General features: G+C 41.4%; 1 protein-coding gene across 2 annotated transcripts in view, besides 1 other annotated feature; it reads left to right on the forward strand.

Moving 5' to 3' along the window:
- The window catches only part of GRIA3 (glutamate ionotropic receptor AMPA type subunit 3), a 306,638-nt gene that overhangs the window by 119,964 nt on the left and 170,159 nt on the right, over positions 1–16,515 (forward strand). The window lies entirely within an intron of this gene.
- Positions 13,849–14,389: an enhancer, noted in NCBI's record as "H3K4me1 hESC enhancer chrX:122451941-122452481 (GRCh37/hg19 assembly coordinates)". NCBI's record gives its function as "activates a minimal SCP1, AML or CMV promoter by ChIP-STARR-seq in primed H9 embryonic stem cells {active_cell/tissue: H9 hESC(primed)}" and the evidence as "EXISTENCE:reporter gene assay evidence [ECO:0000049][PMID:30033119]".

Genomic DNA, 16,515 nt, shown 5'->3' on the forward strand with positions numbered 1-16,515 from the left:
AGACTTCTTGGTAAGCATTCAATTCTACATATGTTACTGAAAGGAACTTTTCCCCTTCCTCCTCCCTTTACAATTTCCAAGCATGCCACATTTCCCTCTGGCTTTTAGTGTGTACATCTGTAAAATCAAAAGATTAAATTAGATGATATCTAAGGTCCCTTTCACTTCTGATGTCCTGCGATTATACCATCTCTGTGATTTCTTACATGGCCTCTATAACTTCAGTATTATGCATAATTCTAGCAGAGTCTACCTCAGTGGAAAATATTTCCTCCAGGCTCCTTCTCTTATTCAGTGCCTTCGAAGTGCCAAAGACCAGGGAACAGTCTCAGGAATACTAGCCCAAGTTGACTAAGCACAGAGGTTTTGCGGATCCCATCTGTAAAGGCTACCAGAGTCCCTTTGATGACCACCTTCAAGAGGGCTAATAAGGACAACTCCCATGTAAGAAGAAAAGTCCATCTGACAAGTATAAGGCAGTAGTTTGAAGAATTAAATAAAGGACAGTTTGGCAACTGCTTCCAAAAGGCTATACTGGCCTGGAGGTAGTTTGAAATAAAGTCTGTATTACTAATTGAAAGGCAAGAAGAGAGTCTTGGAATAAATCAGATAAAATAAATAAAGAGATTATTTTACTTATTGTCAGCAATGCCACAGGCAGTCTTGGAATTTGGTGGCAGTCCTATCTTCTTAAGCTTTTCGTTGCCAACTCTCAAAATGTTCAAAATCCATTTCTAGGTCTTCTTTCCACCCCATGGTTATAAATCTTCAATGACAAAAAAGCAAACCTTGAAAGTTCTATAATGTTAAATATTTCTGAGGATACAACCCACTCCCCAAGTAGAGCTAGCACCTGGATACTTCCTCCCACAAGAAAGAATTGCTGGAGAAGCTTGCCTGAGCCACATCTATTAAACTTAGGCTTCTAGGAGTCTAAGAAAAATGTACTGTTTTCACGTCGAGTTTATACCAGCTGACCTGATTTTGAACCCACACCCACCCAAACACAATGTAAAACTCTGCTCATGATTCTAACTACTGGAGAGTGACTTGTTTCACTTACCAAAGAGTGTCATGCCAAGACTTAGGAACTACCAAAATATAGCAAAAACCCACAACCAAATAAATAAGATAAAGAAATTAGAGAAATGATGCATAAGCACTATATTATCTGTATATGTTCTATATCTTAAAATATAGATTTTCTACACATACCCAAAAGATACTTCTTATACCAAAAATAAACATTGAGACTTTGGAAGACTTGTCTCTTGCATTATCCTTGTCCAATTATAAGGGATTCGTTACCTATAATGCCAATACTGCTTTCGAGTTTGGCCATTAGCATTTATTTTTCTGCACTGAGGGAAATTCTACATAGGCATTTTGTATATGTCTGAGAGATGAGCATGGAGAGAGTGGAAAGTAGAAAATGCACAAGAAACTGAGGCAGATTCTCCTTTCCTCTAGCATCAGGCCTTTATAGTTAAATTCATTCCCACAGCATGCAGACACATTCAAACAAAGTATAAAATAGGTTACACAATTAAATACAAGTGAGTTTAAGCATATTCACTATTTGGTACTATTCGAACCTTGGATTCCCTGTCCCCGTTGCAAATAATTGAGAAAAGTAAGTTTTAAAGCATAGGTAGACAGAATAGCTGAAGATGGGAGGTGGTGGGGGAAGATGGGTTGGGTAGACTAAATGGTCTATTGAGACTTCCACTTGCTCTATCATTCTGTTAGGAGTCATTGACGTTAATGTTCTTAGACTATTCTGTATGCATAAGGCAAATTATAATAGACCCTCAGATTGATCATTCAAGAATCTGAGGGCTGTTTTGAAAGATGGAGCTTAAGTTCTTTTCTTATTCATCCCTTGGGTATGTGGATAATTCAAAAGCAAGTAATAGACATGTCTGTTGGGTCTACCTGGCTTATTGGCCAGTTTGATCTTTAATATTATACAGTCACTACTCTAGCTTTATCTAAGGCTTTATGATTCCCTTATGCCACCAAATCGCAAGTTGACCAGATATTACACGTGCAAACACAAGGCTCAGAGAGCAGAACAGGTGACTACTGTGGCTGTGCCCCAGACACACTCTTCCCTAGAAAGAAGGGAGGGAGTAAATTAACATTTAGTGAGTACCTACTATGTGCCAAGTACTGTGCTAATAACTTCCACATACATTCTAAAGCATGTTCTACATTGGAAGCAGGGTTGATCTATTCAAATAATATATGATACATTGGAAAGTAGAAGAAGAGAGGGGTGTTGCACCTGGGAATCAATAAATCCAACAGCAAAATATTGATTCAAGAAATACTAGCAACCTCTGGCCAGAGAAGCTTACCTTCCAAAAAGATATAATCACAGCCTCAGCCAGCTGAAGATAGGAATGTCAAAAGGCTCAGGGGAGGATGCATATCTTTCGAAATGATCACAACAGCAGTATTTCTCCAAGCTACATTGAGCTTTCTTGGCACCACAGACAGAGTAGGGGAGCCTAGGGTTGAACCAACATACTTGTACCCATCCAGCTGTGCCCACATATCTGCCACCTCCAGATAACCCTCTCTCTAGCCCTGGGGCACAAGCTGATCACACACCATTTTCTGAAAATAATTCTTCTTTGTCTTGCTCCAGGGACTTTGGCAGAGAATTGGGGAAGATGCTTTGTGCATCCTGTGGCACTCAACTATCTAATGCCGAAAGCTTGCAGCCAGGGGAGGTTTGTCCAAATGTCTGACCTAAAAGGGCCATGGCTTCACTTCTTTTCTAATTAGGATAATTAACCTCCCCTGCTCATTCATCCTGTTCCAATCCAAAAAGCTCAAATTAAAATGGCACAGGAGACTGTCAGGCTCTAGGGACAAGAGACAGTTTACAAGTCTTTCATTTCCATGCCACCACCATCAAGGCAAAGCCAGGACAAAGTTGTCACAGCAACTTTACCCTTGAAACAACCTTGGGGCCCCTGGAAGGCCACTTTCAGAATTTTCATCAATGTAAATACTCCATCAGCTATAAAATTTTGCACAGCTCCATAACACTTGCTGACTAAATTGGGGCAGAAGGGAGGGACAGGGAAGATGATAATAGGAGATAACATTTCTCTTTCTATTGTCATGTGGATTCTGTGGTTGGTCCAAGGAGAACAAAAACTAGATGCTTTGAGTTGGTAGGATTTGATATGGGATTCAGGGAATGTATTCTTTGGGAACAATCACTGGAGGCAAAACTTTGGGAGCATTTAAAAAACTGGAAGCAAATAGCAGCACTTCAAGCAGGGCAGAGACACAACTAAGGGGAAGCAATTCTACAGTTCTTCCTCTGATGACTTTAACTGTCCTTTCCCCACCTCTGAGCAGGTTTTAGAGTTTCATATCAGATGCCCAGGCAGATAGGACTGATGACTGTCCTCTGGATCTCTTGCCCCTCCCTACTCTAGGATTCAGTCCAGCATCTTCACTACATGCAGCCCTTCCTACCTACCTGTGTGGGAAGCCACTGTGCGCTGTAGTCTCGGTGCCAAGAATTCGTTGGCTACAGACCTTTGTGAGCCTCCATGGCTGATAGGAAAGGCAACGGACAACAGGTTAATAGATGAGATTGTGCTGCTCATTTGGACTGAGTACTGAAAAGTTCTTTCCAGCCCAGTAGTGTTGATTTTCCCTGGGTCTGCCTTGTTTGGAATATCTCCAGTAGTGAAGACCCTGACTTGCAACTCAGTATGTCCTAGATCCATCTACATAAATTTTTCAGCATGTTAACAGCTTTGACTTGGGCCTAGGTTGAGCAAGTTGGTCACTCTCTAAACTTTGCCAAATCATGTCCTGGTCCCCTGCTAGCCCTACACTGTTCATGTCCCATCCATAATCTCCACTGCAGCCTGGGCCTTTCCTGCTCTTGAATTACCAATCTGTGTTAACCAGCCAAAGCGTAGTTCTCAGTCGTTATACAAGAATGACTAGGCCAGTGCTTCTCAAATTTTGATGGGCTAATGAATCACCTGAGAAGCTTGTTAAAATGTACATTCTGGTTCATTAAGTCTAGAGTGGGGCCCAAGAGTATGCAGTTCTAACAATCAGCCTTGGTGATGCCAATGCTGCTGATCCATAGACCATACTTTAAGTAGCAAGTAGAGCATCTTTAGGGTCTTCTCTGTAATTGATATGCTGATGTAGAGGCCACACTTTAAGTAGCAAAAACATATGCTCATTTCCCAAATGAGTTAGACCCGACTTGGCTGCTTGAAATAAGACATTGTGGCACATCAACCTCTCTTCTTGGCAGTCAACAATAGCATCCTTTCATATTAAGGCTAAAAGAATTTTTAGGGTAACCAGGGCTGTGCAGAGGGTGTGACAAATGTGAACCTTAGTGTAGAGTATTCTTCTTAGGACTTGGGTTACTGGAAAAAAGCCTTCCTGGGCACCTGAAGCCAATCATGCAGGCCAAACTCATTTCGTATCCAGCCACTCCATTCATCGCACCCACTTTCATAGTGGTTCTGGATGGCTGCTGCCGCCACATCACTCATGCTGTGATCTGCATCAGTGGTTGAGACAACGGAAGCAGCTACATCATCCAAGCCACAATCCATTTATTTCATGCTAAGAAAAACAATCTTCTATCCAAGTGGGGCAAGCTAAGCTGGGCAGTTGCCACAACTTTAAGGTTATAGGAAATATGCCTTTTGCGCTATTTACCTCCTCAGTGGAGAGCAATGACCCCCTTGAAGAGGACCCAGATTTCATCAGTGCATCAGTGCCATGCCAGGCAGAGCAAGCCCATTTCTCCTCTGAGGCATAAGGCGTATAACTCCTGGAGTTGTTTAAACATAGATTTTCAGGCCAGGCGCAGTGGCTCATACCTGTAATCCCAACATTTTGGGAGGCTGAGGCAGGTGGATCACTTGAGGTCAGGAGCTCAAGACCAGCCTGGTCAACGTGGTGAAACCCTGTCTCTACTAAAAATACAAAAAAATTAACAGGGCCTGGTGGCACATGCCTGTAGTCCCGAGAGGTGGAGGTTGAACCTGGGAGGTGGAGGTTGCAGTGAGCCAAGATCGTGCCACTGCACTCCAGCCTGGGTGACAGAGAGATACTCTGGAAAAAAAAAAAAAAGCCATAAGTTTTCCAGAGAAACTAACTGCCTTGTTTCTCGTTTCTCTCTAAAGGTAATTCTTGAATCCTTTCCTCTTTAGCATTGCTGCTGATTGTGTTCTTTGCTCAAATAATAGCTAATAAACTTCAAAGAACATTTGTATTTGTTTTGAGGGATGCTCTGTTATGTTGATATTTACAGAGTTAAACACTGCAGATGGGGAGTTTTCCCTAAGAAGATTCCAAAGCATTATGATTTTGTGGTTTTGATCCAAAATATATACATGTTTTATGGCCTAAGGGGGTTGTCAAACAGTGTTTTAAAAAACACTGGCAAATTTAAGATGCCTTTAAAAGTAGGACAGCTTGGGGATCCAGAAGGGCCCCACACCTACATTTCCCAGTGGCTGTGTAGAAACAAGTCTTGCTGGGCTGGCCTATTGCTGGCTCTGGTGGGGTCTCCAAGCTAAAGGAGTAGTCCTCATTAACTTTTTCCCTCTTATCCACTATCCCTGCCCACCTAGGCAGGTTACTAAACTCTCCTGGAGAGCTTAATAAATACTTTCATCTTCACAGGACCTGACAACTCCATTTTCCTCAAAATGATACATAAGACTTAAGACACTGGCCAAGGGGATCAGATGCCCAGCCAAGAGGAACTGAACCATTTTGTTAAGTTCTGTCAATGAGTACTTTGCCTGAATGAGCATAGAAGCTCTTTGGGCATGGCCAACTAGTCCCTGCACTGACCCAGTCATTATGATGGCTAGCTATGTGATTTATAATTAGATTCATTTTATTCAAATAAATTCCTAGCCAGTATGGTTTCCCAGAAGTCCATCTCAAGAGTTGTCATCTTAACTCTAAGTGACTCAGGGCTTTCCCCCTGTAAACTCTCCAGCCCCAGATTCTAGTTTGCTGAAGCACTCCTAAATTCAGTCACTGCCATGTGGTTGTTTGTTCTTTGCAAATATTATAGTTAGCTCAGCTGGGTATATCCCCTGGTTAAATGAAGCCAAAGTCATGACTTTGATGACTGCTAGTGCCAGTCAGCTTACTTCTCATCCAGAGATCTAGACTTTTCCCTCCATCTTGGCCAGCCAACCTTCTTAGTAATCTATGCCATCAATGGCAAAGAAGACTAGATCAAATGGTGAGCTGGCTTTGCTTACATCTCTTTGCTTTATGCTCCACAGCTCTAGACAAAGTGTTAATTTCCAAGTGAAATATTATTTGGGAACAATCAGGGTAAGGGAGCAGAAATCTTTAGAAATATATTTTCTCTATCTCTCCTCCTTTCATATTATCTTTCCTTTTTTTCTAAATTCTAGCCTCCTTTTGTCTCTTATCAAAATAGAATTCTCAACCAGGCATGGTGGCTCACACCTGTAATCCCAACACTTTGGGAGGCCAAGGCGGGCGGATCACTTGAGGACAGGGGTTCAAGACCAGTCTGGCCAATATGGCGAAAGCCTGTCTTTACTAAAAATACAAAAACTAGCCAGGTGTGGTGGCACACACTTGCAATCCCAGCTACTCAGGAGGCTGAGGCACGAGAACCTCTTGAACCCAGGACATAGAGGTTGCAGTGAGCCGAGATCATGCCACTGCACTCTATCCTGGGCAACACAGTGAGAATCTGTCAAAAAAAAAAAAAAAAAGAAATTCTCTTGATCTGTCCTGCAAATTCTGACAGTACCTATTTATACAATCCTTATGGGACTCCCAGGAATAGAATATCATTTTACAGATGAGGAAACTGAGTCCCAGAATGGAAAAAAACAACCACATGCTCATGTATTTTAATGAGGTCCCCAAGACTTTTTTAGAAGGTAAATCTTAGATTGCACGCAAGTTCAAACATTTATAATGCCTTCTCTGAACTTTCTCCTATGGGCAAAGAAAAAGGTTGGAAAGTTTTTGAGAATGAGCATGGCTGTAACATAATCAAAAGAGTGAAGAAGTTAAAGCTGACCTTAGTGAGAAGCTTGCATGAAAGAGGACTGCTGGAGTAGCCCAAGCATGTACCAATAATAACTTCAGAATAGCTGGTACTAATTAGAGCGTAAAGAATGTGGCAGAACACAAAGAATTAATATATTTGACTTTGTGTACTCTTAGGGCAGTGGAAGGCTCCAAGATAGTATTCAAATTTTGTAACTAGGAAATTTGACAGAAATAAGAAAGTCAGAAGAAACCGCTGCTTTGGAGGCAGGGATATCTGAGAGAGTGTGAAGAATAAGTAAGGACACAAACAATAATAAAACCTGCCCAGTCTAGGAACTCCAGCTCAATTACAAAGTTGGTGATTAACTGACAGGAAACATACCATTAGCCAGAGAACCATGACTGTGTTTCTTTTAAGCACTGACTTACAATTGATTGCATGGCCTGTATCCCTGTGAGCCTGAAAAATCCTGGGCATCTTCAGGTATTTACACAACAATGTGTTCTAGAGCCCTCCCTGCCATGGAGTAACACATAGAAAAATGTATGATTCCAACTTTCCTGGACAACTGCACATGTTGGAATAATTTCAGTCACTGATGGGGGGAAGAAATAAGAGTGCGAACTTAGAATCCAGACTAGTTAAGTGTTTTTCTTCATGAACATGTGCGTCTCTGAGCCTCAATTTCCTCACCTGGTTATTTGGGATAACTATGTACTCTTTAAGATTGGAAGAATTAAACGTGATAATGTGTATACATTGTTAGCTCTGTACTCAGCCCAAAGTAGACAATAAATGTTCATTTCTATCCTTGACCCCGCCTTGACAGCCCAAGGGAAAATAGTTCAATTTAAAACCTGAGGGATGAGAGTAAAAACATTATACATCACAATACAAGAAAACCACAAATCTCTTAGTCAAAAAATGATTTAAATTTGGCATTCAGCTATAATCCCTCAGAGATGGGAGTAACCATCTATAGCCTAAGATTCTCAGGCTAATAGAAGATGGATGTGAGAGCTCGGAATCTTCGTTTCCCACTATCTCAATCAGATGATCTGTTCAGTGATACGTATTTTAAGGTGAGTCTTAATGAATGAAAGGTTTGTGGGATGGAAGTGAGGCTTTGTGGTGGAGGGCAACCAGAGTAAATCATGAGAGATGGAAAATGCTGGAGAAGGCTGTGCCTTGCATGAGAATTTGTGTGAGTAAGCAGGGTGAACCAAGCCAAAGGCTTTGGAGCCTGCGTAGATTAGAGTGGGCCTCAGTGCCAAATGGGAGTCCCAGCTAGATTTGAGGAGGAAGATATGCTTTAACACACAAACTTGTTTGTGGGCTCTCTCACTCCTCCATGCAAAGGTACTGAAGGAAAGGAGAAGAGCCCTTAAGGAAGTCACAGATGTGTTGTAGGCAAAGTGCAAGGGATATATCCATCATGACATTCCTATTGGATTTTAACTTTTAGTCTATATCAAAATGAATCTTTATTCAGAAAATGCCACAGAAACTTTGTTTTACATTAATATTGAAAGTTAAAAGAAGACAAGTATTGTGGTCATGGTCAAGTTTGGGATCTATCATTGGGGCAAACCATTTTGTCTTTCTGGGCTTCAGTTTCTTATTGGCACAATGAAGAGATTGGGACCATCACTAATTCTGGCTCTCATATTTGAGAATTCTGAGAAACTTGGAAGAACTCTGGCCACCACAAACAGCCTGACTTCTCTGCAGCTCACACAAGATTCAGCCACTCTTTCTGGAACCCAAGGCCTTGACATTAGCCTATAACCCGCCTCCATAATGCCAAATTCACTCTCATATCCCCATTGGAAAAAACTCAATTGAAAGTAAACAACTAATCAAAGTGAGTTGATCTTGGGGGTGTTTTACGTGGGTTTCTTTAGTATGGTGGATGGCACATGAAAATACTTATTTATCTTGTGAGTTTTGAACCCCATTTTGGGTGTTTCCCAAGCAGATTTTAAACCACAGTATTAAGTCAAAAAGAACTTGTCTTCCGCAAGAGAACAGCATGTTCTCTGTTGTCCTCAGGACTGTATCTTTGGCTCCTCTGTACCCTCTAGGCAAGAGTTTGCCCTTAATATTACCTTTGACAGCCCTCCAATGGTATTAGGATCAAGGAGTCTCAGCACTCCTGGAGGCACAGCAGGCAGAATAAGCTACAGTCCTTTGCACTCAGATCCAGACACTTTTCATCTTTGGCATACATTCACCCCCACTTCCTTCCCCCTTTTCCTTCTCACTGGTAACCATCATTCATACCTCACACCCAGAACTCAGAAATGTTAAGAGGTTTATCTTGGCCTTGCTTTTTAAAAATTGAGAATGCTGAAGAATGTTCCCAGATAAGTGACTTGCCTGATGAGAAGCCTTTTGCTTAGTGGAACCTAAACACATACTTTCTGAGCTCAAGTCTCACTTCAGTCAGTTCACTTTACAAGTCCATAGGCACAGGCCACAATGTGAACTACTCTGCACAGAAGTTCAGGGTATGGATGCTCAATATAAAATATACTCACTTCTGGGAATCTCTTCAAAGTTCATCTTCTGCTGGAGAAGGGGCAGCAGGGTGGGTGGTCATCTTCTTCTTTGTAGTCACTAGGTTCCATGTGGAATAAATGGGACCTGGGAAGAAGATGTACTGTGGCTGACTGGTAGCACTCCTTCCTCCAACCCATAAGTGAAGCCCCCTTTTAATCATGCATAAGGCCTTCCCCCCACTGCCACCCAACTAGGGCTGGCAAGTGCATTCTCTGGTTGTGATCTATGGTCAGCTCTCTGCCCCGGGTATCTATAAAGTGCTTACTAACATCCATGTCACTCACTACTTGCTCTCTAGGAGACGCAGTCACAAGATCAGAGCTGGAAATTACGGATTTCAAAGGGATTAAGATGCCGAATGAGGAAATGTCATGTAAGAAACCCTATTCATGGGCATGATTAATCCTCTCATGGCATCTGTTAAGAGCTCAACAGTCCATGGAGAAACTTTGAGATGACTCCTGCCCTCTGTGAGTTTGCATCGCAGGCAGTCTATCCCAGAACAATTATTTAGATACCAAACAGAAACATGAAGGAACTACACACAATCATTGTAGCATCCCCTTCAATCCAAACCCCAGTTGCTTTCTGTTATTTTTATTTTTTTTATTTTTTATATCAGATATTGTGTGGGTGAGGATCAGAGGCTTGCCTATTCTGCTCTTCCCAGATGTTAAGTAAATCTACTCCAGATGGTCTTCTAAATTTCCTTTCAGCTGACAATGCAAAGCAAGTTTACTTTCACTCAATGAAACTGACATATCTATTTGGGCATGTTTTCTTAGCTCACAGAGAGGAGAATGGAGCTACATAATTCACCAACAGGGAGACAAAGTTCAAATAAGGAACAAGATGAAAGAGAAAAATGGAAAAGGCAGGATTACATGCATTGCCAGCTTCAGAGCCAAGGTTACACTTGACTAGTAGTCAGTAGCTGCCTCCTGGAGTGAGCTATTGGAGTACTTGGAATGCCTCAAGTAAGATATTGGGGTACCTGTTAGCTCAAGTTGCCAAACAATACTTGATCAATCACTTACGGCTGTCTACAATTTGCCCCTGTATTGTAAGTCTTTGGTTCTAATATTAAAACATACATCCTTCATGAAGGAGGTCACAGTTGAAGCTGTTATCAGTCATGGACAGTCTAGTATAAGAGTTTCGTTTGGATTGAGAGACAATTTGTATTGGGAGAGAAGAAAAAGCACAAACAACTGGGAAACTGGGGTCACCTTCTGTTCAATGATTCCACAAATTAGCCAAGTACTCATCCTAATAATGCAGCTGCAAGGAGAAGAAGATTTGCAGAGGGTCAGCTCTTAATTAAAGGAAAATTTAAACAAATACAATTATAAGGAATGGAAGTCTCAGGGAAATATTAATTTGCTAACGGTAAATTAAGGATTGAATGTCGGTGAATATTTGTCTTTACCTTGTTCCATAAAATTCACAGACTGACATCCATATGCAAATATAAAGGGGTTCTTGATCTTCCCATATCAAACTCTTCACACACAGAACAGTTTCTGTATTAGCGTCTCAAATTTAGACAATCACTATATTGATTTTGATGGAAAATAAAAGGGTTTAAATCAAGTTAAAACAAAAACAAACAACAAAACAACAAAATGTGGATTCAAATGTGCTATAGAAGTCTTTCCATGAATTATTTTTAAATGAAAGTATACTTTGTAATATGAATAGTAATAGCCTGAAGTACTGGCTCTGAGTTCAGATTTTTGTATATCAGGTTTCTGAGATATGGGAAAACATACCATGAAATAACTAAATTGAGCTCATCATCTTTCTCTTTCCTCTGCCTCTATTTTTTCTTTACTTCTGTCTCAGAAACCACCTTCACACTCCATATCTAGCTTCTCCATTGCTTTACTTGGCCACAATATGCAAGGGAAATTTATTGGAAATTCCATGGAGACCAAAGACATTGCAAGAAATGGAAAGAGTGGTTGGCATAAGTTTGGATTTAAAGCCCATGTGAGCACTAGAATAAGAGTAGAAGAGCAAATTTTGGTCAGGCACAGTGGCTCACACCTGTAATCCCAGCATTTTGGGAAGCCAAGGCAGGTGGATTGCTTGAGCCCAAGAGTTTCAGACCAGCCTGGGCAACATAGCAAGACCCCATCTCTAAAAAAAAAAAAAAAAAGCAAATTTTATTCGTCATTCACGTGATTTTTTGATGAAAAAGAATATTAATTTCATTAAAATGTCAAACTTTTATTCATGACAATGTATCATAAATATTAAAAGTAAAATACACTGGATTAAATATATGGCATATGTCAAGATACTTAATGTCAATATATAAAGGCTCTTATAAATCAATAATAAAGACATTAACATCACTAAAAAGTTGGACAAAGGAAATAAACAGGCAGTACTCGAAATGATGAATAAACATGGACAAAAAAATAAAAAAGTCACTAGCTTTACTAATAAAGAAATGCTAACAAAAAAAGAGAATCCTCTTTATTCACCTACCAAATGGGCAAATATATTGTTCAGTGCTGGCAAGGGGACAGAGAGACAAGTACTCTCATAACCTGCTAATGGGAACACAAAGTGGGACAACCTTTCTGGAGGGCAATCTGGCAGTATGTATCAAGAGCCTTAAACATGTCCGTAAATGTTTGGCCCAGTATTCCTACTTTGAGATATTAATTCTATGAAAATAATTAGAGATGCTGTATGAGTGTTGTCAGCACGGCATTATTCATAATAAGGAGAGATTGGAAAACACTGAAATGTTCATGTTGCAGAATAGTTAAATAAGTTATAGTATGTCTAAAGGTTGGAATACTATGTCATCATTAAAACTCATGTTTGAAAATGTCTAATAACAAGAAAATGTTCATGATATAATGCTAGATTTTTTAAAGGCAAGACACAAATACAGTCATGCGCCACATAATGGCATTTTAGTCAATGACAGACTCCATATATGACAGTGGTCCCATAAAATTATAATACTATACTTTTACTGTGTCTTTTCTATGATTAGATATGCTTAGATACACAAATATTTAACACTGTGCTACAGTTGCCTACTGTATTAGTTCGTTTTCATGCTGCTGATAAAGACATACCCAAAACTGGGAACAAAAAAAGGTTTAATTGGACTTACAGTCCCACATGGCTGGGGAGGCCTCAGAATTATGGCGGGAGGCAAAAGGCACTTCTTACATGGTGGCGGCAAGAAAAAATGAGGAGGAAGCAAAAGCAGAAACCTCTGATAAACCCATCAGATCTCTTGAGACTTATTCACTATCATGAGAATAGGATGAGAAAAACCAGCCCCCATGATCTAATTAACTCCCCTGGGCCCCTCCCACAACACAGGGAAATTCTAGGAGATACAATTTAAGTTGAGATTTGGGTGGGGACACAGCCAAACCATATCATTCTGCCCTGGCCTCTCCAAATCTCATGTCCTCACATTTCAAAACCAATCATGCCTTCCCAACAGTCCCCCAAAGTCTTAACTCATTTCAGCATTAATCCAAAAGTCCACAGTCCAAAGTCTCATCTGAGACAAGGCAAATCCCTTCCACCTATGAGCCTGTAAAATCAAAAGCAAGCTAGTTGCTTCTTAGATACAATGGAGGTACAGGTATTTTGTAAATACAGCCATTCCAAATGAGAGTGATTTGCCAAAACAAAGGGGTTACAGGGCCCATGTAAGTCCAAAATCCAACAGGGTAGTCAAATTTTAAAGCTCCAAAATGATCTCCTTTGACTCCAGGTCACACTGATGCAAGAGGTGGGTTCCCATGGTCGTGGGCAGCTCCACCCCTGTGGCTTTGCAGGGTACAGCCTTCCTCCCAGCTGCTTTCATGGGCTAGTGTTGAGTGTCTGCGGCTTTTCCAGGTGCACGGTGCAAGCTGTCAGTGGATCTACCATTCTGGGATCTGGAGGATGGTGCTTCTCTTCTCACAGCTCCATTAGGCAGTGCCCCAGTAGGGACTCTGTGTAGGGGCTCTGACCCCACATTTCCCTTCCGCATTGCCCTGGCAGAGGTTCTCCATGAGGGTCCCACCCCTGCAGCAAACTTTTGCCTGGGCATCCAGGCATTTCCATACATCTTCTGAAATCCAGGCAGAGGTTTCCAAACCCCAATTCTTGACTTCTGTGCTGCCACAGGCTCAACACCACATGGAAGCCGCCAAGGCTTGGGGCTTCCACCCTCTGAAGCTGCAGCCTGAGCTCTACGTTGGCCCCTTTCAGCCATGGCTGGAGCAGCTGGGACACAAGGCACCAAGTCCCTGGGCTGCACACAGCACGGGGACCCTGGGCCTGGCCCACAAAACCACTTTTTCTTCCTAGGTCTCTGGGCCTGTGATGGGAGGGGCTGCTGTGAAGGTCTCTGACATGGCCTGGAGACATTTTCCCCCCATGGTCTTGGGGATTAACGTTAGGCTCCTTGCTATTTATGCAAATTTCTGCAGCCCGGTTGAATTTCTCCTCAACAAATGTTTTTTTCTTGTCTACTGCATCGTCAGGCTGCAAATTTTCTGAACTTTAATGCTCTGTTTCCCTTTAAAGATGGAGTGCTTTTAACAGCACCCAAGTTTTAAATGCTTTGCTGCTTAGAAATTTCTTCTGCCAGATACCCTAAATCATCTCTCTCAAGTTCAAAGTTCCACAGATCTCTAGGGCAAGGGCAAAATGCCACCAGTCTCTTTGCTAAAACATAACAAGAGTCACCTTTGCTCCAGTTCCCAACAAGTTCCTCATCTCCATGTGAGACCACCTCAGCCTGGACCTTATTGTTCATATCACTATCAGCATTTTTGTCAAAGCAATTCGACAAGTCTCTAGGAGGTTCCAAACTTTCCCACATTTTCCTGTCTTCTTCTGAGCCCTCCAAACTGTTCCAACCTCTGTCTGTTACCCAGTTTGAAAGTCGCTTCCACATTTTTGGGTATCTTTTCAGCAACGCCCCACTCTACTGGTACCAATTTACTGTATTAGTTCATTTTCACACTGCTGATAAAGACATACCCGAAAGTGGGAACAAAAAGACGTTTAATATGGACGTACAGTTCCACATGGCTGGGGAAGCCTCGGAATCATGGCAGGAAGCAAAAGGCACTTCTTACATGGCAGCGGCAAGGAAAAATGAGGAGGAAGCAAAAGCAGAAACCCCTGATAAACCCATCAGATCTTGTGAAACTTATTCACTATCACAGGAATAGCACATGAAAGCCCAACCCCCGTGATTCAATTACCTCCCCCTGGGCCACTCCAACAACACAGGGGAATTCTGGGAGATACAATTCAAATTGAGGTTTGGGTGGGGATACAGCCAAACCATATCACCTACAGTATTCAGTACAGTAACATGCTGTACAGTTTTGTATCCTAGGAGCAATACGCTATGCCATATAGCCTAAGTGTGTAGGAGGCTATTCCATGTAGGTTTGTGGAATACACTCTATGATGTTTGCACAATGACAAAGTCACCTAACAACGCATTTCTCAGAACGTATCCCCATCATTAAGTGATCAATGACTGCATTACAATCCATTTTGCTAAAATAAAAAGTGTGAAGTCTATTTATATAAAACAGAATGTAAAGAGGGATAAAGTCACCTATACTTTTTCTTTTAATTTTTGTACTTTCTGTGTTTTTCCAAATGTCCAAACTGAGCATATTAATTTTATACTTAGAGAGAAACACCCAGATGCTACCTCAGAAAAGGAAAGATATTTGTAAAGTGCTTTGAGTACATCTGGGTTTGCTTCCCACATACTGTACTCAAGGTTTCCAGATTCTTCATCTACCACAGGAAGAAGCAATTTGTAAACCTGGCCTGAGCCCTCCCTTCTTGCCTCTGTGTCTTTATTTGCTGATGTCTAGGTAGTATATGGCCCTTCTTGAAACATGCCTTTCTCACCCAGAACCTTTCTGCTGGTCATGAAGAACACCTCAGGAAAAAAAAAAAAAAAAAGGCCTGCTTTAATATGCCACATTTGTATTGGGTAGCCCTTAGAATAGGTCAGTGATTCTCCACTCTGGCTGTACATGAGAATCCCCCAGGGAGATTAAAATAAAACAAAACAAAGCCCAGGAATCACTTTGAGAAATCATTATTTTATTGCTCCAGAGTAAGCCTTGGCCATCCATTTTTCATACTTCCTAGGGTAACTGTAATGTGCAACCAGCATTGAAAGCCACAGAGGTAGGTGAAGACACAGAAAAGGAAAGAAAGAAATGGTTTTTTCAGCTGATTTCAGTTGAGTAACATAGACAGGAATGGACACTAACCTTCTGTGGACCTGTCTCACCATTGTCTTCCCACTCCACTGGCCCCTGAGATACCCCATATCTACAAGCTGTTCATTTGTTAAACTCCGTAAGATCATCAAGCACATCACCAACTTTCAAATTCATCATCTGAATGACCCCATAAGATGGGCAGACTCAAAAACAATGTTAACATTCTCTTTTGTTTTCCTTCCAAACTCATTCATGTTAAGGTCACTGCTAAAATGTACGTGTGTTCGCTGAAAGGATAACATGTTATGCCATTAGCTATTTTTACGCTGGCACCTGGAAAAGGGAAGGGTGCTGAGGGAATTGAGCACAGGATAGGAAAGTTTTAATATGGGGAAAGAGGAAGAAAAAGACTGGGATTGGTAGTGATAGGCCTACTCAAGGTACTGGGGAGACAGGGAAGCGAACATCAGGATGTTGTGTGACATCAAAAAGAGAAGAGAAAAGGACATGAGGAATTAAGTTCTGTCCACACCAAAATGTTGCTAAGCGTCATCTTAAAATGAGAGCTATAAAGTAAGTTGGACATGATGCACTTGAAAGACCACTAAATTGGAAGCCAAGAGACTTGCTTACAGGGTCAATACTAGGGCAAGG

Source organism: Homo sapiens, chromosome X (genome assembly GCF_000001405.40).
Source record: "Homo sapiens chromosome X, GRCh38.p14 Primary Assembly".
NCBI classification, from domain to species: domain Eukaryota; kingdom Metazoa; phylum Chordata; class Mammalia; order Primates; family Hominidae; genus Homo; species Homo sapiens.